The following is a 23449-nucleotide window of genomic DNA, read 5'->3' as shown; positions in this document are numbered from 1 at the left end:
TCCGAGAAAAGGAGGACCCGAGTTAAGCTCCCGCTCTCTGGAACCTGCCAGGTTTCTGTTGCAGACCAGGGGTGCTCGGGGGACAGGATCCTCAATGATGGATGCCCTCGTCTTTCTATGGGGAGCATGTTTCTCTCTGCGGTGCACTCGCCAAGCTTGGACTCTTGGAAGAGTTCAGACTCTTGGATCGTGGTTAGAAAACCTGAAACTGGCTGGCAAGCAGTGGCGGCGGGGTGGGGAGGGGGACCACCCGACTCCAGCAGACAGCTCAGGGTGCTGCGGAGGCCAGGCCGGTGGGAAGAGAGATGCGGTTAAGGAGGCACTGCCGCACCCCACTTCCTTTCCTGGGGAAAGAACAAGGGCGGCGGCGCTGCTTATCTGGCCATTATTCTAAACTCTAAACATCACTCCTTCAAAGAACATGAAAAAAAAAAAACAAAACCCACAGCAGCCTGTTGACCTCTTCCTGTGTGTTTTCAATGTTGTGCAAGCAACAAGACTCAACCAGACAAGGCAATTCTAGAGGGGCGCTGGGGAGGGCAGGGCCAGGGCGTGAGTTGAGGTGATGGGTTAGGGTCCCAGGCTGCTGTGCAAATACCACAACCCGCGTGGCTTGTCCCCTCACAGTTCTGGAGGTCAGAAGTCCAAAGTCAAGGTGCTAGCAGGGCCCTGAGCTCCCTCTGGAGGCTCCAGGGGAGGATCCTCCTGCCTCTTCCAGCTGCTGAGGGCTCCAGGCGTCCCTGAGATTGAGGCTGCATTGCGCCACTCTCTGCCTCGATTTCACATTGGATATAGTGCCCACCCTAAAGCCAGGCTGATTTCACCTCTATCCTTAGCTAATGACATCTGCAAAGGCCCTGGACCCAATAGCGTCACCCCTGAGGTTCCTGGTGGACAGAGATTTTGGGGGCGACTCTATTCACCTCTCTATAGGCAGTTGCACTGACTGAGCTTCTATTCTACATGAGGAAGACTCTGAATTAGCACCTCACCTGCCTACTTCATTAAATCTCCCTGAATCCCCTGGGGAGCTCCTGGTTTTCAGTGAAGAAATGGAGACAGGCAGCTTCCAGTGCGTCATCCCCAGGAAGAGTTTGAGGCCAGTGGGAAGCCCCAGGGGCCCAAGGAGGGAGGGGGCCTCTTGCTGGGACCACTGGAGGGCATGGTAGGAGTTAAGTGTACGGCTTCGAGGAACACGGTGGAGCAGTGAGGGGCCTGTGTGACCCCCAGTGACGGGCTGAGTGTCTGCGGGGCGCCGGGCTCAGTGCTGGGTGTTGGACGCAGCTAGGGGTCGATAGTCCAATCACATAACAGCGGCCTGTGGGCAGGGACACTGAGGGCCGGTCAGCAGGGTCAGTGTGATGGATGCTGTGGCCCATTCAGTTGCTGCCCCGGCTCATGGTGGACTGAGCAGAGGGAGGGAAGGGGTGCTGCCACCACCCCATATCAGACAGCTGGGCCTGTCTCTTAGCAGTTCACCAGAGCACAGGACCCTCAGATCAACTCCAAACCCAGTACTACCCCCTCCTGAAGCCCACACAGATCTCCCGGCCAGAGTGGGGACGCAAGCCTCTACTGGCCAGGCACACAGCTGGCACTCAATAAATGCTTGTTGGATTCCTTTGGAGGTGCTCTGGGTGCCAGACCTGAAGGCTCTGTGACCTCAGGTGAACAGGTTTCCCTCCCTGGGCCACAGTTTCCCGCTGAACATGTGGGAACTGGATTTGAGTATTTGAGTCTAAGCACTAGCACTGACACTCGTGGATCGAATTCCTGTACATCTTCCTTAGCGGTCCTAGTGGCTCCTGAGCCTGCCCTTCTGGGGAGGAATTCTCCCTAGAATCTGTGGATGGTGTCAAAATCCCTGGGAGAACTCAGCCTGTCTGGAAGGAAGAAAGGGAGGAGGCAGAGGGAGGAGGCAGAGGGAGGAGGGAAATGGGAAGAGGAAGGAAAGGGGAGAGAAGGGGAGGAAGGAGGGAGGAGGGAGGGAAGAGGGAGGGAGTGACAAAGAGGGAAGAGTGGGAGGAAGGAGAAGAAAGGAAGGAAGGAGGGAAAAAGGGAGAAGGGGAAGGATGGGGGAAGAGGGAGGGGGAACAGGGAGGAGAGAAGAGGGAGGAGGGAGGAGAGAAGAGGGAGGAGGGAAGAGGGGAGAAAGGGAGGGAAAAGGGAGGAAGAAGTGGGGGGAGGAGGGAGGGAGAAGGGAGACAGGGAGAGAAAAGGGAGGAGGAAGGGAGGGAGGATAAAGGAGGGAAGGAAGAGGAAAAGGAGGGAGAGGAAAGAAAGGAAGGAAGGAGGGAAAACGGGAGAAGGGGAAGGATGGGGGAAAAGGGAGGAAGAAGAGGGAAGAAAGGGAGGAGGAAAGAAGGAGGGAGAAAAGGAGGGAGGAGGAGGGAGGGAAAAGGGGAAGGGGAAGAGGCAGGAGAGGAGTAGGACGACAGCGCTTACTGAGCGCCTCCTCTCTCTGTGCCTGGTGCCGTCCCGCAGGTGACCTCCCCAGCATTCAGTAGCTGCACCATCACCAAGTTCTTTAACTGCACCCAGCAACTCAGGAGCTGATCATTCCAATCTACATTTATTCCAATTAAAAATAAAAAACCAGAGTCTAAAAACGGGCAAATAGAAACATGGAAGGCAAGCGCAGTTGGAAAATTGCTGTCTGCAAATCGGCTGCTTAACTGCTGAGTGTTTGTACATATTCACTTCTTAAAAATGATTTAATGAAGCCATTTTCCTCCCCTATAATTACTCCATTGGCGGGGACGTATGTGCAGTGCCCACCCCTCCTCCTCAGGGTGAGGAGCCCCTGCTCGCCCCACTCCCACTTGCGAACACGGAAGTCACACGCGCAGGTGTGAAAGGCAGCACCCGCCTGCAAGCTCTGGCCTTGGGCAAGGTTTACACCTTTCTGAGACTTAGGATTTTTTTCTATCTGAACAAAGGGTTAATGAAGCGGACCTCCTGTGCCTGTCCTGAGGATTCCAGAGGTGTGTGTAGAACATGCACGAAGCAGGAACAGAGTGGTGGGCAGGTGGCACTGCCTGTGTCACTGTGCCACTGAAGGGAAGCCGGTGTGCTCCAGCTTGTCCCCTGCTTACGGCATGGACCACCCCTTGCTTGAAGACGCAGCCGCTGTGTCCCTAACAGCTGCGAGGCTGAGTGCCAGCACCTGTTCTGCACTTGGCAGCTGCAAGGCCCCTTGAGTGGACCCCAGAACCCCTCTTGAGGGTACATGTATTCACACCTGCACTTTATATATGGGGAAACTGAGGCCCAGTGGGAAAGGGACTTGCCCAAAGGGAACCCCAGACTGGAACCTCAGTCTCAGCAGAGGTGACAGGTGCTGCAGATGTGTTTTCCCAGGGGAATTCATTCTGAGCTTCGGTCACGTTCCAGTTCAGGCTAGGTCTGTGCTGTGAGATGAGAAGACACACAGACCGCTGTGGCGCCCAGGACCCGATGGCTCCACAGAACCCGCGAAGAGGTACCCAGACTTTCTAACAAACCCTCCCAGGATCAGAGAGGAAGAGGGAACTAAGGTGACACAGGGCAATTGTGGGACAGTGAAGTTGTTCAATAAAATTCCAGAAGGCGCTCCAGATTCTGAGTGTGAAAGGGGGCATCAGGCGCCAGCGAGGTGGGTGAACAGAGGGGAAGGAAGTGCAGCCCGGTGCCGGAGGGGGTGCCCAGTGTTAGGGACGAGGAGACCCTGCCAGGCAAGTCACCCAAATACGCAGCAGCGAAGGCAGCAGGATCTGAACCCACGACCCACAGAGATACAGGGAGAGAGCAGGATGCCCTTCAGCACGAAAGCTGTTTGGGGAGGAGTTAGCGAGATCATTGCCCACCATGCTCTGGACACCAGCAGAGGACAGAGTGAAGGGAACCTCACCGAGACCTTACTATCACTTCAGAACAGGAGGACACCTTCCCATTTCGCTGACCAGGAAACTGAGTCCCAAGGAACATTAAGTAACTCGCCCAAGATTATAGCAACATCAGAAAACTCAGTGTTGGGCCACGCAGTGGCTCCAGGCTTGTCTTCTCTGAGCTTCCCAGGCTGTCCCCTGATCCGTGCACCAATGCCCCAGAGGGGTTGGGGTGGCATGGCACCCACCCTGCACGTCCTGGGCACCTCTGACATTCTCCAATGCCAGCAGCTGGACCTTGACTGCAGCCCGACCCAGTGCAGGAGCTGTGTCATTTCACCTGTGCGTTACCCATGGGCTTGGGCATCTCCTTAACTCCACCTCACCCCCAGACTCAGCCCTGGCAGTGTGCCCTGTGGGCGGAGAGGGCTGGCGGCAACAGAGGCAACTGATTTTCTGTGTCTGAACCCACAGGGGCAGCACCCCTAGGGCCACCCCCGGTGCCTGTGCCCACCTCTCTGCATCCACGCCCTGAGCCGCGTCTCCCAACCAGCCCTTCCACATGTGGGTTCAGCTGCCTGCCACGGCTTGCTGGTATTCTGAGCCCACTGGTGCTGGGGGCTGTGACACTCACTAGCAGATCGTTCCAGAATGAAGCTGGGCTGGGCGCAATCCCAGAGGACCCCTCCTCCACCATCAGTGCCCCTGCCTGCAGCTTTTACTGACACCTTAGGGATGGAAATAGGGGCATGACCTCGGACCTGACCCACGGAAAACCAGCACACACCTCCTCAATTTACTCTTCGCCAACTGTGTCTCACTGACTGCATGAGAATTGGTCCTTTTCAGCGAATCCCTCGCTATCTATAAACTCCTGCAGTAACTGAACCCCTCCAGTGCCAGAGTTCCTTTCCAGACCTCTCCTGAGCATCGGCGCGATGCCAGGCTGCATCCAGACCAGGCGTGCACGTGGCTGGGCGGGGAACTTCTGCAGCCAGCGGTGCCGTGCAACTGTACGAGTGGCTCAAACTGGGAAGTGAGTCCACCCTGGTCAGCCAACAGCGCCACCCTACAGCCCCCAAGGGCCCTCATCACCAGGGCTCTCCTCCTCCAGGCTGACCCGGCACCTCCTCAGGGGCCAGCACTGAAGGGGGTAAGCCTGGAACTGGCAGAGCAGGAGCCCTGGGGCCTAACTCCAGGCTGCCCCAGCTCCTTTACAAGTGACTGATGCTCCCTGCCCCGCCTGCTTAACAGGGGAGCCCAGGATCCTGTGGGGCTGAGAGCAGGCACAGAGACCACTGAAATGCAGCTGCTGCTCTAGCACGGCAGAAGCCCCCATGTGCGCCCTCTGGGAGGCCGGGCCAAGGAGCTGCAGGAGCTGAGGGGGAAGGAGGGGCAGAATGGGTCAGACTAAGAGGTGTGGGTGCTGCGGGGACCTCCCCTGAGATCAGCCAGTGCTGGCTAAGGAAGCAGGTTGCTCCATGCCAGCAGCAATGAAGGGATGAGGGCAGAAGTTCTAGAAAGGTGATGAGCAGCCAAGTTTTACAGGCACAGGCAGCAGCGCTGGAAGGTGAAAATGGCAGACACAGCTTCACCGTGGCCGCCACGTGCTGGGTCTCTTCCAGACACTGGCTGGGTTGCTTCTTTAATCCCCATTCCAGCTGTTCCCGTGCAGACAGGGAGACTGAGACTCACGACGTGAACTCACTTGTCTGGGGTCAGAAAGGATGAAACGAGACTCTATTTGACTTGAGTTCCAAACTATGCATCTGCTGTGGGCTTCCAGCTCTGTGGGAGGGAAGTGGCATTGTGGTTCTCGCTGGTTTTATGTCTGGAGGTCTTAAAATGGCACAAGGTGGGATGTTTGCAATGGCTCTTGTCCCAACTGATGGAGTCTTTAGAATTTGTGTATAACCATCCACGGTGAACGAGGCCGAGCTCCTGGAAGCTCCCTGGTCATGCTCCCGGCACAGGCAGAGCTGCCGGTGCTCCCCTCGGCATGCAGAGCCTTGTCAACCTCCAGCAGATATGCCTGCTCTACAGCTGCTCTGCGAGCCCTCCGCCGGGCACACTTCCAAGAGCCACGGCGGGTGACAGAGCCACCCTCCAGTCCCATGCCAGCCAGCTGGGATGCCAGAGCCTGCAAGCCCGAGGCTGCCAGCAGCAGCAGGTATGGGTGAAGGAGGTGCCAGTTACCTTGGCAGCTCCCACAGGCAGCAGGTGCGAGGCTGAAGCTGTACTTGGCACTGTGTTGTTCCTCACTGTGAAGCAGCCGTCCGATGATCCGGACACAGCCCGCGACTTCTGGGTTAATTGGGGGAAGCTGCGTTTGATGGGGGGCCGGGGGGGCAGGCTGAGTTTATGGCCAGGTAGAGGTGAGTCTCTGGCCTGACATGGTGGAGAGTACACATGGGCTGAGAGAAAACCGGCACTTGCCCATCGCTTTGCACTTGGTCAGGAAGGACACACGAGCACCTCCTGTGAATGGACCAGGGTAGTTACCTCTTTCTCCCGCTGCTGGGCATGAGTCACACTGGCCCCACGTTGTCCCCAGGAACCAACCTATTTGGGAGGATGGAAACCACTCTAAAACCCAGAGTGTTACTTCAAACAGGAGACCCAAATAGAATGAGGCAAAGAACAACACAATGGAATTAGCTGGACTCTGCAGTCCCCACGAGACACACAGCAAAAGAACTTTTGCACCCAGCAGCTGCCTTCTGTGGAGAGGACTTGCCTAGGAATTCCCAGCAGGAGTGAAGTGGGACGGGCTGATGGACAGGGCAGAGCTGGAGAAGCCCAAAGAGGGTGCGTGTGAGCCGCCAAGTTACAGACCAGAGACTGGGCTTGAGATCAAGCCCAGTGGGTTAACCCACCCTGTGACCTGGAATCTATCTTAGATAGAAACGTAGCAATCCACATACGATCAATAAATGCCCTTCCTGATACGCTAATGTATCCTCAGTTCTTCTTGGAATCCTTTAAAAATAATGAAACAATTGAGAACAACAACGCTAAGAAGAAGAAAAGAAGCTGCACCTTAACCATCCACCAGGTCCACTGCCTCCTCTGTTCCTGTCTAGCCCTGGTCCCTGTGTGAGCATATTTGCAGTATTTCAGTTACAAGGCACACACAGACCTGTGTTCTGATTTTATCACAAAATACTCAGCATGTTCTGCCTGCTGTGTAATATTCCGTCCAGCGTGTGTGGCATTATTGACAGGTCATTCCTTAGGCTGAACTTTTTCAAATCTGTTCTGCAAACAGAGTGCCTACCACGTGCTGTGCGTGGTGGAAATCCACTTTTTTCTCTTCATTGCTGTGACAAGCAATGGTGCCCTTCGTGAACAACATTTTCATTATTTTAACTCCTCCCCAGCCTCTGTGTCCTGGGTAATTTCCCAGGGTTAAGCTCTAGGAGGGAGGCTCATCAGTGGGATGCTCTGAGCCTCCATGCAGCTTTTTAAAAAATGTCTTCTTAGATCCAAGTAACTCTTACAACTCAATATTTTTCAAAGGAGAGCCTCCGTTTACTCTTAGGGGGTCCTGGAACAAAATGATAACATTTTCGTATGCCAGTTCGCAGATTATAGAATCTGACACTCTAAACTGATTTTTCGAGGCACTGTTGACTGTATTCGGTTTCTGCTGAAGGCAGTCCAAATGACGTATTGAGTGTTTTCAAAGAGAAGGAAAAAATGCCCAAGACACAAGTAGATGAGGTCAGAGCCATCTGAAAGGGAATTCTACTTTAAAACATGCATGATAATATTTACATATAAGATACAAAAATTCATTAGGAAATAAGACACAATTAACACAAACAACTGCCCCTCTCTGGAAAGCTTAGAGGATGCTTCGAGTCGTGCGATTGTGGAAACCCGGCTGAAAGTTTTGAGTGGGAAGATGTTATGGAATCCAAAACAAGGGATAAGTCAACGGCAACACTGACTAGCTAACACTAACACTGACCCACAGACATAATCACCATGCGTGTCCTCAGTGTGTCTGATCAGAAAACTCCTAAAGACAGCAGTAAATCGGGTGGCTGTAGTAGTAATCATGGCGATGACAAATCCCCTCAGTCACGCCTGTGTCGACTTCCAAGCGCTGGGTATGCTGGACGCGTTAGCTCGTTGAGTCCCTTCAACACCCAGCCGGAGGACTAGCACATTCTCACCAACCAGAGGAGGAGGGAGGAGGTAGAGGGGCTGAGCTTGAACACTGCAGCCTGGCTCCCAAGCTGTGAATGGGGCCCTCACAACATGCGGCCCCAACTCCTCAGCAGTAGCTGCTGCCTGAAGGGGATGATGAGGGAGGAGACTTCTCACACCTGTACCTGCAAACGTGGATGAGAGTGACAATTCAACGGCAGCTAGGACCATGCCGAGAAGGGGAGGCTCCCTTCCTGGTTCAGCTGCAGGCAGGGGATGAGTGTGGCCCAGTTCCTTCTGGGAACTTCATGCCGTGTTCCTGGAAAGCACCCTCTCCCCACACTCCCAGACTCCGTGCAGCCCCGACGCCTGTCCTGCATAAAAAGGCCAGGGCATTCCACCAAGGAAAAGCAGCACCGCCCCCACCCCTCCAGGTCCCTGCCCACATGGAACTGTGTTTTGCAAGCGGATAAAATCTGCAGACGCAACAGCCAAACACCCGGCGTTCTCTGTTCCTCAGCCCACTCTAGGTGCCTCTCCTCCCACGTGGTGCAAATCAGCCTCTGAACAACCTGCAGGGTCCCAGCACCTTCAGGATGAAGCCAGAGCCCCTAACAACAGGCCAGATGGGAGGGAAGGGAGGTTCAGAGAGGAGAGGCAGAGCCTTAGGAAGGTGAAAACAAGAGCAAGAGGCCTGCCGTCCCTCCCCACGCCCAGCTGGGCCTTCTCATTCCCTTTCTGCATGCTTGAAATGACCTGTGACGCCTGTCTCATCATTGATGGATTTCCTCTCCTTGGAGCTGCCTGTGAGCTCCAGGAGGACCAGGACTGCATCTGACCAGCTCTCTAGCCACCTCTCAGCCCAATGCCCAGCATGGAGTGAGTACCGGTAAATGCGGGTGGAATGAATGCTTGAATGAATAAATGAATGAGCACCACAGTGCCCACCCAGACACCATCACGGGTACTGCTAACGCCCACTTGAGGTCCCAGCCCCTAAACCCTGCTGCGAGAGCCGAGAGCACCCTTGAGACTTCTGGGCCTCCATTGGACCCCTCCCATGAGTGAGGACACAGGCCCAGAGAAGTGGAGTCACTTGCTCGAGGTGACACGGCAACCAAGCAGCCCCGTGGGTGATCTTAACTGAGGTCTCCTGGCCCTGAGGTCAGTGTTTCTTTGCCAGGGCTACTCCAGCCTGTGTTAGGCAGAGAGCTGCAGGGCAGATGTGAAAATCATTCCCCACTCTGACCTATGGTCAAGATGATGAAACAGACTGAGCCCCACCCCCACCTTGCATGCAGCAGAAACTGGTCCGTGAATGCTGCTGGAGAGAAAAGCAATCAATAGCAAAGGCTTACGTCTGCAGGGCACGGGTGGGTTCCGAGCGGCAGCATCTGCCCCACAGCCTGGGAAGTCAGCAGGATGGACGGTGTCCAGGCCTCCTCAATGTGCTGAGGAAGCTGCTCCTCCTCCTCCATCCGGCTGCCCGCTGAGCCCTCGTGCCAGGCGCTGGGAGGGCCCAGGGCCAAGGCTACAGCTCTGAGAAGGTACCAGCTTGCCCAAGGCCACCCAGCAGAGCTCGCAGACCTGCTCCAGTGCCCTGCCCAGCCCCAGCAGGTGGCCAGCCCTAGGGAAGGCCTCATCCGCCCCTGACCCAGTCTCCCACTGGGCACCTCCATGGTTAATGATATTACTCCAAGACAGCCGTGCGTGCCCGAGGCCCATGTCAGGCTCCCGTGGAGGAAGTATGGTGACAAGCTGTGTGACCTTGAGCTGGCCACTGTACTCACTGGACCTCAGGCGTCCCTTCTGTACAGAGGAGGGAGCCACGCCTCCCACTCAGAGTTATCTCCAGGGTGAGAGGCAGGGAGCGTCCCCACACAGTGACTGGCTGGGATGTGGTGGGTCCCCTTCCTGCCCATCCCTCCCAGAAGCAGAAGGCCTCTGGCAGCTGAGCAGTAAAGGGTTAACTAACGCCACAAGTCTGGGTTGTCCATGCCCTTCACATTCCAAAGGCTGGCTGGCCCCTGACCATTCCTGGGGGGTGACCTCTGAGCCCTTGGACACATCCTGCCAGTTAAGAGTAGCTTTGCTTACCAGGGCCCCAGGCCATGCGGACAGTCTATGCCAGCAGTCCCATTGATGGTGGGGGCCCTGAGCTGCCTGGCATACAGCCTCACCTCTGGAGGGGCTGAGATCAAGGTCAGCCACATGGGCCTACGTGACTGACCTGAAGTAAAAACCCCGACACCAAGGCTCACAGGGGTGTCCCTGGTTGGCAGGTACCTCATGGTGTCATCAACATCACTGCTTCAAGTTAAGCACTGTCCATTGTACACCCCAGGAAACGTGACCTCCACACAGGGTCCCACCTCAGGGCCTTTGCGTGTGCTCCTCTCCTTCCCAGACACCCCGTGGGAAGCCCCTCACTGCATGCCAGTGTCTGCCCTGCCATGACTCTATAACCAGCCCTGCCATGACTCTACCAGGGATTCTGCTTGGCCTCTATTCATAGCACATATCGCTACCTGACAACAGGCCTGGATTTTGTTTTGCTATTATCTGTCTGCCCCTCTACAGTGTCAGGTTCCCAGGGGCAGGAGTGCTGGTGTCTGGTCACCCCACACCCCAGGAAGCAGCAGCAGCCTCTTCCCGCCCTGAAGGACCAATTGCTGACAGCTCCCTTTGGGTTTTGTATTAGGTGTGAGCCAGGCCCACCCAAGGGTGCCTGAACCACCTAGTCAAGTCTTCCTTCCTTCGATGCTGTACGCAGCAACCCTGGTCACAAGTCAGGTGGCCATAGCTGTGGCCTGGTCTGGACCTGCTGAGTGGCCCCCGCTTCATGCCATGGAGCTGTCGGCTCCAGCTTCCAACATCAGCCACCCCTTGCAGCTTGTGGGTCTGTCCACTGGCCCCACCTGTGTCCTCGGCTCCCAGCCCAAGCAGTCAGTGAAAGTTTGCTGAAATGCACGCACGATGCCCAAACAGGCTCCATAAAGGCAACAAATGACAGTAAAAGTACGGGGAAAGCCACCCACATTCCACAGCCCTGATTCAGTCTCTGCACGACCACGTCACCCGCCTCCAGCCACAGCACCATAATAACTTAATGCGCTCTGCTCTCCAGGCAAGCAAACCAAAGGCGGGGAAATTGGCAGAACGTATTTCTCCAATTCTTAAGAATCCCATTTGAGAGTTAAATAATGACAAGATGCCTTTAAGCGCTTGAAAATTACGAGTTAAGTCGTTCCCAAGGAAGGCTGTCATTTAGCAAGCAGGCAGAATTGATTGTTCCAGCCACAGATCTGAGGATCTGGGGCAGGTGGGAGGCAGAACGCTGGGTTTGGGGTACTGCAGGGATCCATCTCTCTGGAAGCACGTGGGAGTCCTCAGGGCCAGGGAACCTCATTCTACCAGCAGGACCTGCCCCCTTTCTACCGAGTGGGTCTCTGTTGGCTCCCCAGCACCCAGGCTGTGGACCAACCTCCACATGGGGGCCAGCAGTCCCGGCTCTGGCCTGGCTTAGGAGCCAAGTGTCCTGGCTGGGCTGCAGGTGAATCCTAAACTCCAGGCCCTGCCAAGCCCTCACTCCTGAATCCAAGGTGAAGCCCCGTTTTCCCTCTGGGGAGCTTCTTCCAGCAGCCCCACCTCTGCAGGGTTGGGGGGCAGGTGCTTTGCCAGCTGTTGACCAGTGAGCCAGGGGGCTGTGGCTATGGCTTCCACTCATCCACGGCAATAACCCAGTCTAATGTGTAACTGACACCTGTAGCGCACGGTATTTTCTGTAGCGCTCTCTCACATTATGGCTACATACGGTCCCATTCTAGAGATTCGAAAACTGAGGCTCAGAGAGGCGAAAGGACTTGCACAGAATCCCACAGCGAGTAGTGTGAGGCAGGGGTACCTGGGTCTGTCTGATTCTTCAGGCTGCGACCCTCTCCTTCTGCCCTCAGAGAAGGCAGTGGTTATGGTCCTTTGAGCACCTCCTGTATTCCAGGAACAATGATGTGGGCTTTTCCTACAGCCTCTCCTTTCCCCTGCGGCCTGGAGGGAGGTGTGAAAATGTGCCAAGAAAAAGGAAGAAATACGGCTCCAAGGCCATGGAGGGGCAGGGCCCGCAGGGCAGCCTGGGCTTTGGAAGGAAGCTGCCCTCCGCAGGGTTTCTGGCCTTACAGAGATGAAGGGGCCCATGTGTCCACTGGTGGGGGTCACACAAGGACAGTGACACCTGAGGGAGTGGAGCCAAGCAGAGGTCCCCATAGTGAGGAGGCGGCTGACTCCTCCCACGAGGACAGGAGTGAGGAGGAGATGGGACTGAGCAGGGCGGGGAGGGGTATGGTGGGGAGGGGCAGGCCTTCTCTGCTGTCCTGCCTGTTGAAAGCCAGAGGGAAGTAGAGGTTAAGGATGGAGTCTGGGGGCCTGAGGTTGGGGGAGGGGCCCAATCCGGAGGATCTATGCTGTAGACCAGTGAGTGGCACCCGTGGCACTAAGGGTTCCTTGCTGGTTGGCCACCCCAGCCCTCTAGGGACACTTCCTACCTGCCTCCTTCAGTGACTGTCCTCCCTCCCTTCCCCCTCCTCCCTCCCTCCCTTCTTTCCTTCCTTCCTTCTTCCCTCCTTCTTCCCTCCCTCCCTCCATCCCTCCCTCCCTCCTTCCATTCCTTGCTTTTTCTTCCAACCATTGATCAAACTCAAATCCCACCATTACTGGGTAGCTATTATGAGCCTGGCCCTGGGCTGGACTTCGAGATGCGGCCACAGAGATGCCTTGGGCATGGCTGATGGGTTGATGAGTGACTGTGCGAGCCTCTCAGATGCTCTCCCTTAACGACACCGCCTGGAGAACTGCTCACCTCTGATATCTGTTTCTGCCATGATGTGGTCTCCTAGATCCCAGGACCTGTTAACTAGGTTGATTCCAGAATGTGACTCAACTTTTCTATTCTAAAGGCACCAGTGTGCTGTCTGTGTATTGCGCAGGAACAGACCTGCGGTGTCCACACTGCTGCCTCCTGGGGAGGGCACCGTGTCTCCCACAGCAGCGCGTGCCCCTCCAGGACCTGCAAAGGGAGAAAGGGTGGGATTTGGGCCCTGGGTAATGTCAGTTCTGTTTTCCTTTCCATTAGGGACATTTCCCCCCTGAAGACAGAGTCTTAACTGGAAACAGGCCAGGCCAAAGCTTGCCTGAATTTTCTGCATCTGAGCGTCTGGGTGGGCAGCAGACAGCTGACGGGCTGGAATTCCAGACGGGGAAGCCAGAGGAGCTGCTTTCTCAGCAACAGGAGGAAACAAGCTGCAGCAGCCTTCACCCAGCCCTGTCCCCACCTGTCCCCAGCCCCCAGAGGTACCATAGGCCTTCACGGGGCCACGCCCAGGCCAGCTCTGCAGAAACACGCACCCAGCGTCCATCTCTCTGCCCCCACCCCAGGCTCACTCTCTCTTCAACCCCTGGGCCTTCTGTCTCTGTCTCTCTGTTGCTCTGTCTCTTTCTCTGTTTCTCTGTCTCTCTCTCCACCCCCCCTCCCCCAAGTTGTGTGTGTATCTGTGTGTGTGTGTGTGTGTCTCCCCAACCCCGCCCCTCTCTCCCTCCCCCTCTCTCTCTGCAGGGATCTCTGGCTTTTTGTGTGTACCTCTCACTCTCTCTCTCTCTCTCCCTCCCTCTCTCTAGTTGTGTATTTGTGTGTGTCTCCCCTCCCATCCATCTCCCTCCTTCTCTCTCTCTCTGCACAGACCTGGCTCTCTGTCTGGCCTGTCATTCTGTCCCTGTACTTCTCCATGTCCATGTCTCTGGGCGTGTCATTCCTCCATCTCACTGTGACTTGGAGGGCTCTGCGTGGATGTAGTCTGTCATTGTCTCTCTTGATCTGTCCTTCTCTACATGTCTCTGAATTTCTGTGTGAGCCATTCTCTCCCTCATTCATCCTCTTCCGCCCTGAGATAGTGTCAAGAGTGGACGTCCCACAACAGAAAGGTCTGGGGACCATATGTGGCCTTCTCTTCCCCACCACAGGGAAAGCAGGGGACCTAGTTCCGGCCTCGAACCTCCCTGGTAGGTAACCAGCTCCCGGGGCGCTGCCCACTACGGGACAGTCAGATGTTAGAAAGGAGGAAAGTGTGAAGTCAGGCGGCCAATGTGCTGTGAATAAAGGAGGACAGAGCATGATGTTGGGTGCAGAGTGGCCCGGAGGCTCCACTCTGACGTTGAGCAGAGACCTGGATGCGCAAGCGTCGGTCCATGCGGGTATCTGGGAAGGCGAACAGCACGTGCCCAGGCCCCGGGGTCGCATTTCCTGGACATGCCGCGCCCAGAACAAGGTGCCGGCCCCGGGGTCGCATTTCCAGGACATGCCGCACCCAGAACAAGGCGCCGGCCCCGGGGTGGCATTTCCTGGACATGCCGCGCACAGAACAAGCCGCTGGCCCCGGGGTCGCATTTCCTGGACATGCCGCGCACAGAACAGGGCACTGCCCCTCCCTGGCTGCACTGCCCATGGCCGCTGTCCTCTGGGGACCTGGAACTGGCCGAAACCATGAAGCCAGGTTTTAACCTCGGCTGTCCTGGCCAACCTGGTGTGTGAGGAGTGCCCTTCCCTGACGGCCGGGTGACAGGACAGGGCGCCCTCCTGGAGTAAGTCAGCTCGGAGGACACCACACGGACAAGGCTGCCCACAGCTGGGGAGGGCAGGGCGCTCACCCCGAATCGGGGGCCGGCGCAGGACTCTCCAGTTCAGGACCCACCCGGACACTCAGCGGAGGGAGCCTCAGCCCCGCCGGCCGCTCCACCCGACGGGAAGGGAAGGCGTTTGCATCCACATCGGTTTCAATCTGGGACTGCCGAGGCAGCAATGCCGAAACCCGCGCAGGTCAAAACCCACTTCACAAGACATCGCCACACTTTCTCCAATCATCGAGTCCATTCTAACGAGGCAAATAAACATGGCATTTAAAGATCAGAGGCAGCACAGTTACAGTCTATTAAATTAAATTCACCGTCAAGGGTGAGAGAGAAGACAGAGTGGGATTATTCTACTCATGGCAATTAGAAGAAAGAAAGGGGTATTTTGAGAGAGATGTAATTTCGTGCCCCTGAAGCAGCTGCCTGTGGAGCTTGTGATTTGGACAGCTGGGGCAAAGGGGCCACCCCCAACCCCCTATGTCAGGGCCCCTCCTGAGACAGGAGCCAGAGCCTATCCTCAGTGGGTCCCCAAGCCCCAGAACACAGCCCCGGTGGGCGGTGGAGGCTGAACCACCCCAGCCTTCTCTCCAGAGCCCAGATGGGGCATAGCCTGGCAGCAGAATGGCTTCCCCTCAACACCAGCTCCTTCCATCCCACTCTACGTGGCCTTCCTCGCCCCACAAGGCCCCTTCTTCCTGGTGGTTCACCCCAGCCCCCTGTGGGCTGTGCACTTCCCATCTGGAAAATGGGGATGATGGAGGCCCCAGCGTCGACCGCAGAGTCCTCCCGTGAGTGGCGAGTGCGGGTGAGTATGGACATGGAAATGTCTCATGGGCAACACATGCGTCCTGGCTGTGCCGTCATCCCCCTGCTGCCCCCAGCCCATTCTGTGCTCCGGCCTGCTGAGCACTTACAAGTGGCCCCTATGACTGCCTGGCCCAGGACTCCCACCGGACTCCACAATGGGAGGCTCCAGCAGGGGGAAGAGAGGCTGTGGGTATCCCTCCCTTTCTCCCTCTCCATCCCCTCTGTGGCCCACACTGATTCTAGTTCCTGCTAGGTGGCCCTGGCCCCCAGGCTGCAGGGACCTCACCATCTCCCTTTGTCCCCTTGCTCTGGGGGGGCAGCGAATGCTCCCAGCTCTAATGTGGGCTGCCTCACCGCCCTGGGCAGCCCCAGGGTCTCTTCCGCCACGTGTAACTGACTCTGTTCTATGTACAGAAGCAGGTACTGATCTCCTGTTTGAGCCCTGAAATTTGCTGTCTGCACTCAGATGAATGGTTACCCACGAAAGGTCGCCGTGCCGAGGCAGCGTGACCCTGTGGCCCCAGTCTCCGCGAGGTTCACAGTGTGGCTGCATCTCCCGAGCCACCCTTGTCCCCAGGGAAAGCAGCTTGCAGCCGGGCCCCCTCCAGAACTTCTGCTCACTCCCTCCAGATTTTAGCCTTCCCTTTTTTGGTCTATTTTATTTTCTTTCCACAGTATTCTTTGCTCCTATTTATCAATATTGAGTTTAATTTCAGTCCTCTGGGCCTCTTCTCTGAGCACTGATGCGTGCTACAGCCATTTTTAAAAATGCAACAAAAATAGATCTGTGGCTTTATTTCTGGTTATATAATCAAACGCATGCACTGTAAAAGCTTGAGTAATGAATAAACATAGAAGAAAAATAAGTATAAAGAGTCTGAGTCCAGGCGCGGTGGCTCGTGCCTGTAATCCCAGCACTTTGGGAGGCCAAGGTGGATGGATCACCTGAGGTCAGGAGTTTGAGACCAGCCTGGCCAACATGGTGAAACCCCGTCTCTACTAAAAATACAAAAATTAGCGGATGCCAGTAGTCCCAGCTACTTGGGAAACTGAGTCAGGAGAATCACTTGAACCCGGGAGGTGGAGGTTGCAGTGAGCCAAGATCATGCCACTGTACTCCAGCATGAGCCAAAGTGAGACTGTGTCAAAAAAAAAAAAAAAAAAAAAAGCCTGAGATCTCAGCATCCTCAGGTAACCATTGTCACAGATAAGTGGGAAAGAGGTGATGGGTGCTAGGGCCACCCTCTGTTTTTCCCTCTCCCCCTCCCTCCCTCCTGACCTTCATCCCTCCTCACCCCCTTCCCTCCCTCCTTCTCCCCCTTCCCTTCCTCCCTACATGCTTTATTAAAATTCAATCTTATTTTTTACCACAAAGCTTCTCCCACCCACTCCCAGGTGGCTAAACCAAACCAAACACCCCAGCCGGGACCACTTCCTCCAGGCTCGCAGACACGCGACACGGACAGACACCTGCACCTGTACCCGTCGTGAGTCCACTTTACCCACTGATTTTTGTAGTGTTTTTGCCTTACAAACAATTACATTTTACATCTCAAAAGTGCCCACATTTTCTTTTGGCAGCTATGAGTTTTTTGTCACTGAAGTGGTTATACATATTCTCATTTTTCTAATAATATTTGGATTTTTAAAATTTTTATGTCTTGGATCTGCCTAAAATTTATTTTGGCGCATGGCTCGAACACAGAGACCCAACCCCGTGTTCCAGCCAGCTCCCTCATGAGAGACACAGCATGCCTTAACTTTTCCCCCCATTGGAAGTACAAAATGGACCACTGACATTTTTCCCCACTGATTGGAAAAACCACCTTTCCCGTGATTCCTTCCCAGCGTCTGTCCGTCAGTGTGTGTGTCACGGTGCTGAGTGGAATCACTCCACTGATTCACCGTCTACTTTCGTGCCACTTGGTTTAGAGCATATTTAGTGGCTTCTAAGACAAGTTCTCTTTCTTTGGTTTTTCTATTTTTAGAAAATTTTTCTATTCTTAGACACTTATTCTTCTACACAAACTTTAAAAGAATTTATCGGCCAGGCACAGTGGCTCACGCCTGTAATCTCAGCACTTTGGGAGGCCGAGGGGGGCGGACCCAGGAGGTCAGAAGATCGAGACCATCCTGGCTAACACGGTGAAACCCTGTCTCTACTAAAATACAAAAAATTAGCCTGGCGTGGTGGCACGCGCCTGTAATCCCAGCTACTCAGGAGGCTGAGGCAGGGGAATCACTTGAATCCAGGAGGCAGAGGTTGCAGTGAACTGAGATCACGCCACTGCACTCCAGCCTGGCCACAGAGCAAGACTCCTTCTCAAAAATAAATAAATAATAATAAAAAAGAATTTATCCACTTTCATTTTTATACATGTAAATATCTAAACCTAAGGATAAAGGTTGGGTCTAAAATACCACAATTCTGGATGAAGCCAATAAATGCTCAGAAACACAACTCTAACAGTCACAACCTCCTGCCACTGATCACAGTGAGGGGTTCCTGTGACAGCTGCTGGCTCATTTACTGGCTCAAGGGGTCTAGTAAAAACCAGCTGACCTTTGTGGAAATCTTCCTACACTCTTTCTACATGTCTTAATAGGTTGGTATCATTTTAATTTATGGCACTTACCTATGCTGCTTTGTTTCATTTGTTTGTTGTTTTGTATCTGTGTATTGAGGGACAAGTGTCTACTTATTCCCTTGACATCTGTTTCAGGGTCTGCTACCTCCAGGAAGCCCTCCCTGACTACATCCAGTCTCCGGCAACGTTTATTGGGCTACTAGTCAATGCACAGCCTATGTCCTTTAAAGATGTTTAATTTATGCCTCCCCACAGCCCTACCAGTTCAGTGACAAGGACCTGCCCTTTAGGGAAAGAAGCACTGAGGCCCAGAGCAGGGGGAAATGACAAGCCAAGGGCCATGCGGCCAGTTTGTGACTTACGGGTTCCACTGTTCATCTTGCTTCCCTAGCAGAGTAGATCTCGGGATGTCAGCTAATGAACAAATGAATGAATGAGTGGGTGGGTGGGTGGATGGGTGGATGAATGGATGGACAGACAAGCAGATTAAGCAATTCTGCCTGCAGCTGCTGGCAACTTCTAATTGGAGAACGACAAATCCATCACCATGGCAAACAGAGAGTTATTTTTTCCCCCAATGGAGCAAATATAACCATGCCAAATGGAGCTGGACGCCAAATATTTACCACAAGCAGCAGCCTCCACTGTTGACAGATTTAGGCCTCATTAAGCCCAGACTATGGCAGCGCCCCTGGCAGAGGAGGCCCGCTCAGACTAAAAGAAGTTCCTTTTCTCACGCGCTGTTCACTGGGACTCTCGCACACAGGACGCTGTGGCTGTCAGCAGACACAGACCCCGGAGTGTCCCTACCACTGGGATCACCTTGATGGTTCCTGCTGGCTTCCACAGCCTCCCCACCCCAGATTAGTGCCCCTATAGAGAGAGGGACTGAACCCCTCACTAGGCTACTGCACGGCTATGCGTTCCCCCTGCCAGGGCTCCTCACAATGACTCTGGGAGTTGGGTGTTTTATAGCCGCGGAAGTGGAGGCACAGAAGACTAGGGGCTTGGCACGTCCCACACCAGGCCTGATTCTCAGTTTTGTCCATCGACTGCCACTGAATCTTCACTCCAGCTCTATGAGGGCCCCGCGACAATTATCCCCATTCGTCCTACGGGAAAACTGAGGCTCATGGAGTTCATCACTCTCGAAGGTCACAGAGTCAGGAAGAGGAAGGGCCAGGCTTCTCACTGGCGCTGCCCAGCTCTGGGGCCTTGCTGCTGCGTCCTCGTGTTCCCGCTGGCAGAGCCAGGCTCTCGGGGGTATCTGAGTACCCTCTCCGTGCCAGGCCCTGGGTGTGCACTGCTTTGTACATGTGACTTCTCTGTCTCCAGAACACCCATGAGGAGGGCATCAATATCACTATTATGCAGAAAGGAGAGACAGTGAGAGGGCTCCAATGCCACCCAGACTCACTGGGGGACCCCCAGATGTCTCTGGGCTCAACTTCCATGCCTGTGAGCTGGAGCCATCCTCCCATCTCAGGGGTGGTCCCATCTCCTGATGCGGGGACTGAGGTGTCTCTGTGCACACGGAGCTCTCCTGAGCTGTTCTCGGGGTCAGTGAGACAATTCAGTGAGACCTTCTGAGAACAGCCCCCAGCCCCGTGCCTGGCTCCCCGCCGGCCACCTATGTCCCTCCGTGGAAGCCCCAGCTGCCCCACTGGATCTCCCTATACCACATCCGCACCCCTTTCCCATCACGAAGCATTTTCCACGGATGCTGTCCAAGCTTATTTTAAAATTCAGAAGCCACAACGCTAGCCTCATCACCCATCCCGCCCTGGAGGGCTCCATGATATCGGGCTTTCTTAGCACATTTGACTCACCCGTTCCACCATGGGCTGCACAGTCCTGCTCCCCATCCCTCCCGGCGCTCCAGGTTTCCATCCTTTTCACCCCTATTGACTTTGGTTTACCAGGAGGAGGTGGAGGGTTCGGTCCCCTGGCTCAGAGGTGGACTTTTTCCAGTTCAAGAAGCATCATGCATGACAGGTGGCCGGGGGGCATCAGCGCCTACGGCCATCAGACGGCTCCCGAGCTTCTCTGCTCACCATGGACCTTTTGTGGCCCCCAACAGTCGGGTCCCAGCTAGACCAGAGCAGGAAGGCACTAAATTGTGGCAGACATACCATGGTTCAGGCAGGACTGGGTATGTCATTTGTGAGGCCCAAGACAAAATGAAAATGCGGTCCCCGTGTTCAAGCTTCCTGGTTTGTACTTACTACTCGTGATAGCGACAGCATATAGCATTTAACAAGCTCAGAGCCCTCCTAAATGTGGCTCTGTGTGACCAACCACCCAGGCCACATGGCTGGGAAGCCAGCCCTGGGGTCCAGAGCCAGATGGATGTGGGTTCAAATCCCACCACAGCCATGGGCGAACTGAGTGACACTGGCACCACTTCACCTCTCTGAGTTTGGTTTCCTAGCTCATAAAATGAGCAGGATTTAAGGATTCTTACTAAGAAGAAATGAATTGCTCTGCATCCGAGGGCCCAGTGCAGTGCCCAGCACCCAGCAGGGACTTCGTGTCTCTCCACTTCCCCCACTCTCGGGCTCTACAAAGTCACAGGAGCTCTGGGGGTGCTGAGCTGAACACCAAAACCACCCAGATCCTCTGAATTCCACACTCCTGGTTCTCCAGGCAAAGGCATTTGAGTTTGAATTACAGTGATGGCCGCCAGATGTCCGTTTCAATTGTACGCACAGGAGAAAAGGGCTTGAGCTGGGAGTGAGGATCCCGGTGTGTGATTCCCAAGGGTCCCTGAGCAAGGAGCTTCTGAGAGCGCAGCTGTGAGCTGCGACAGAGGCCCCTGCCCTACCCCTGGCACCCAGGCTGCAGTGAGTGACCAGGGTGAGGCCTGTAAGGGTTTGAGGTCAGGGGTGGGAAAGCACAAGCTCCTCCTCTGCTCCAGGCCTGCTCTCCGGGTGGAGTAGCAGGGGAGCAGGTTACCTAGAGACCAAGTCCGACAGGGAGGGGCTGGCAGAGGAAAGCTCTTCTCCTCTAGGGCACCAAAACCTCAGCCCCCCGACGCTGCCAACCCAGAGGCTGCTTACGCTTGGCATCTAGCCTGTGGTTCTTGGTGAAGTTTGCAACGAGAAAGATTGAAATGTGATAGCCAGCAAGCCAGGGGCCAGCGGTCTCCTTTGTTCCATACACGTTGCAGGAACATCATTCTGGGCCTGCATTAGCCTCTGGGGAGCACACGGCCCATCAATCTGCATCAGCATCTGCATGTCTGTTTCTAGCTGTGTCTCCATCCATCTGCACCCCCACCTCCATCTGCACCTGTGCCTCTCCCTGCATCCTGGGTATACCCTCTCCAGCTGTTACTGTTTCTGCAGGTGTATCTGGGTCTCCGTCTGCATAGAGATCTCCAGCTCCTGCACCATCTCTACCTCTGTCTCTCTCTGTCTCCATCTCTGTCTCTCTATGTCTCTGCCCCTCTATGTCTCCGTCTCTGTCTCTCTATGTCTCTATCTCCATCTCGGTCTCTAGCTCATCTCCATGTGGTTGCAGCTGAAGACTGTGTGTAGCAGACGTGAGTCAAAGTCACTGCCAACCTCAAACTTCTGGGAGACAAACTTTTTACAGACAACTCTGTTACTCATTTCTAACTCGGCAGCCTCACCACTTTCTTTAACTAGGCCAGGAACTCCAGGGCCGTGAGTGTGGGTGACATATATATGTGTGGCTTTTTCCCCTTTTGAGTTCAGATTTTGAAAGCCCTATGAAGGAGAATTTTCCATGTTTGGGGCTTCTGGAAAGATGACACATATATACACATACAGATGGATATATTTTAGGCCTCTGATATATATTCCCCAGATATATTCCCCAGCCCCTGTGCACCTGTGCTCCCGGAGGCAGGATGCTACCGCTGGCAGGGCCTCTCTGCTCGGCTGGTTAATTTTAAAACGTGAAATCGGGTGGAACTTGTCCAATAAATGCACCAAGAAATAAAGGAGTAGACAGATTCTTAAAGTGAAATAGCATTTAAATCAGCCCCACTTTCCCTGGGTCACTGACACCCTAACAGTTTTATAATATTCTCCTCTCCCTCAGTCGCCACAGCGGAAGAAATGAATCTGGTGTGCAGCGTGGAAGTGGGCATGCCGTGGGGGCAAGGCCGGCTTCCCTGCTCCCCGCACAGTGGTCTCTGAGCACAGAGGTCATGTTGGCAGATGGAGCGTCGTGAGACCTGGCTTTAGATTGGAACCTTGCAGCTTCTGTCCACATGGCCTTAAGCAAGTCACGCCCGTTCTCTGCATCTCACGTGTACTCCTGTCCCAGACAGACGGGAAGTGGGAGTTATGGGAAGGGACAAGGTGATCAAGGGAGCCAGGACATCAAGAGGAGGAGCAACAAAGGCGGCTGGGGATGAGGCCCACAGTCAGACCAGCCATGTCCACACAGCTCCTATTTATAAATGGTAGTAGCCGCTCTGACCAGACCCTTGAATGTCCCCATCTCCACCTTTTGATGGCTTTCCTTCGCATTCACACAAATTATCCCCTTGAGAACAGAGATCACTGCCCAGCCCAAGGTGAAGAATCATCAATCAGCCCCATGGGGACCACCATGACCACAGAATCCTCTTCCCCCACCAGGGAGATGTCATCCTCAGACAGTGGTGCTGAGCCTGGCGAAGCCTCGTGCTGGCTTCCAAGGACTTCTTCCCTCCCTCCGGCTCTCACGGGGCACATTCCTTGTTTTAATGGACAAGTAGATCTTGAGCACCAGAGGCCGTCTAGAGGCCACCTCCTCCCTTCTGATGGCCCCAGCCATGAAATGAGACAACCACCCCAGCCACTCCAGGGTGTCCCTGTGACAGAAACGCCCTCCCCTCCCTGCCTGGGCACATGTGACTGGCGCTCAGGAAGCCTTGGTTGAACAGAGAAGGACTGCACTGTAGGGGCGGGACCACGACCCATTCAGCGTCCACAGAAGCCGGGAGTGCGCCCACAAGTCTGCAGATCAGGAGCTCCACTGCAGATGCCTCAGAAGCTGTGCTCGTTGTGGGAGCCCTCCTTCCAGAGAGATCAGGGGTGACTGTTCTTCCAATGTAATTACAGTAGAAATTAAGAAAATCACTAATCCTGCTGTCAGGTACATAATTAATTCAGGAAACTTAATTGTGTCTTAGTGGGGAAAGATTTCCCTGGTCGAGACACATTTTAAAAAGAGAGAGCAGGAGAAGGAAAAATACACCTGCCGATTCCTTCAGTCTCCAGACACACAGGGACAATGAGACCAACGCAAAGGGCAGCAACAGCAGCATCTTGAACGTCCTGCCTTGTACACAGGAAGACCGGGTGCGAGAAGCCTCTGCCTTGCCAGGGTTCAGTTTGATGT

The 23449-nt window shown here is 54.8% G+C and overlaps 1 protein-coding gene and 2 long non-coding RNA genes across 10 annotated transcripts in view, besides 3 other annotated features; 1 reads left to right on the top strand and 2 right to left on the bottom strand.

The window, feature by feature from the left end:
• SORCS2 (sortilin related VPS10 domain containing receptor 2) overlaps window positions 1-23449 on the bottom strand; it is a 550290-nt gene that overhangs the window by 217806 nt on the left and 309035 nt on the right. The gene's annotated exons all lie outside the window — the stretch shown is intronic.
• LOC124900654 (uncharacterized) lies at window positions 2554-9785 on the bottom strand. Its single transcript, XR_007058008.1, has 2 exons — window positions 9380-9785; window positions 2554-8206 (listed from the first exon to the last, which is right to left on the bottom strand). It is a non-coding gene; the product is annotated as an uncharacterized LOC124900654 (long non-coding RNA).
• Window positions 8502-16369, top strand: LOC124900655 (uncharacterized). The gene is made up of 2 exons (XR_007058009.1): window positions 8502-8900; window positions 13147-16369. It is a non-coding gene; the product is annotated as an uncharacterized LOC124900655 (long non-coding RNA).
• Window positions 9569-10212: an enhancer, noted in NCBI's record as "H3K4me1 hESC enhancer chr4:7516537-7517180 (GRCh37/hg19 assembly coordinates)". NCBI's record gives its function as "activates a minimal SCP1, AML or CMV promoter by ChIP-STARR-seq in naive H9 embryonic stem cells {active_cell/tissue: H9 hESC(naive)}" and the evidence as "EXISTENCE:reporter gene assay evidence [ECO:0000049][PMID:30033119]".
• Window positions 12853-13680: an enhancer, noted in NCBI's record as "H3K4me1 hESC enhancer chr4:7513069-7513896 (GRCh37/hg19 assembly coordinates)". NCBI's record gives its function as "activates a minimal SCP1, AML or CMV promoter by ChIP-STARR-seq in primed H9 embryonic stem cells {active_cell/tissue: H9 hESC(primed)}" and the evidence as "EXISTENCE:reporter gene assay evidence [ECO:0000049][PMID:30033119]".
• Window positions 15180-15680: an enhancer, noted in NCBI's record as "H3K4me1 hESC enhancer chr4:7511069-7511569 (GRCh37/hg19 assembly coordinates)". NCBI's record gives its function as "activates a minimal SCP1, AML or CMV promoter by ChIP-STARR-seq in naive H9 embryonic stem cells {active_cell/tissue: H9 hESC(naive)}" and the evidence as "EXISTENCE:reporter gene assay evidence [ECO:0000049][PMID:30033119]".

Source organism: Homo sapiens, chromosome 4 (assembly GCF_000001405.40).
Source record: "Homo sapiens chromosome 4, GRCh38.p14 Primary Assembly".
Taxonomy (NCBI): domain Eukaryota; kingdom Metazoa; phylum Chordata; class Mammalia; order Primates; family Hominidae; genus Homo; species Homo sapiens.
Note: the sequence above shows the minus strand (reverse complement) of the source record. Positions and strands in the feature narration are given on the sequence as shown.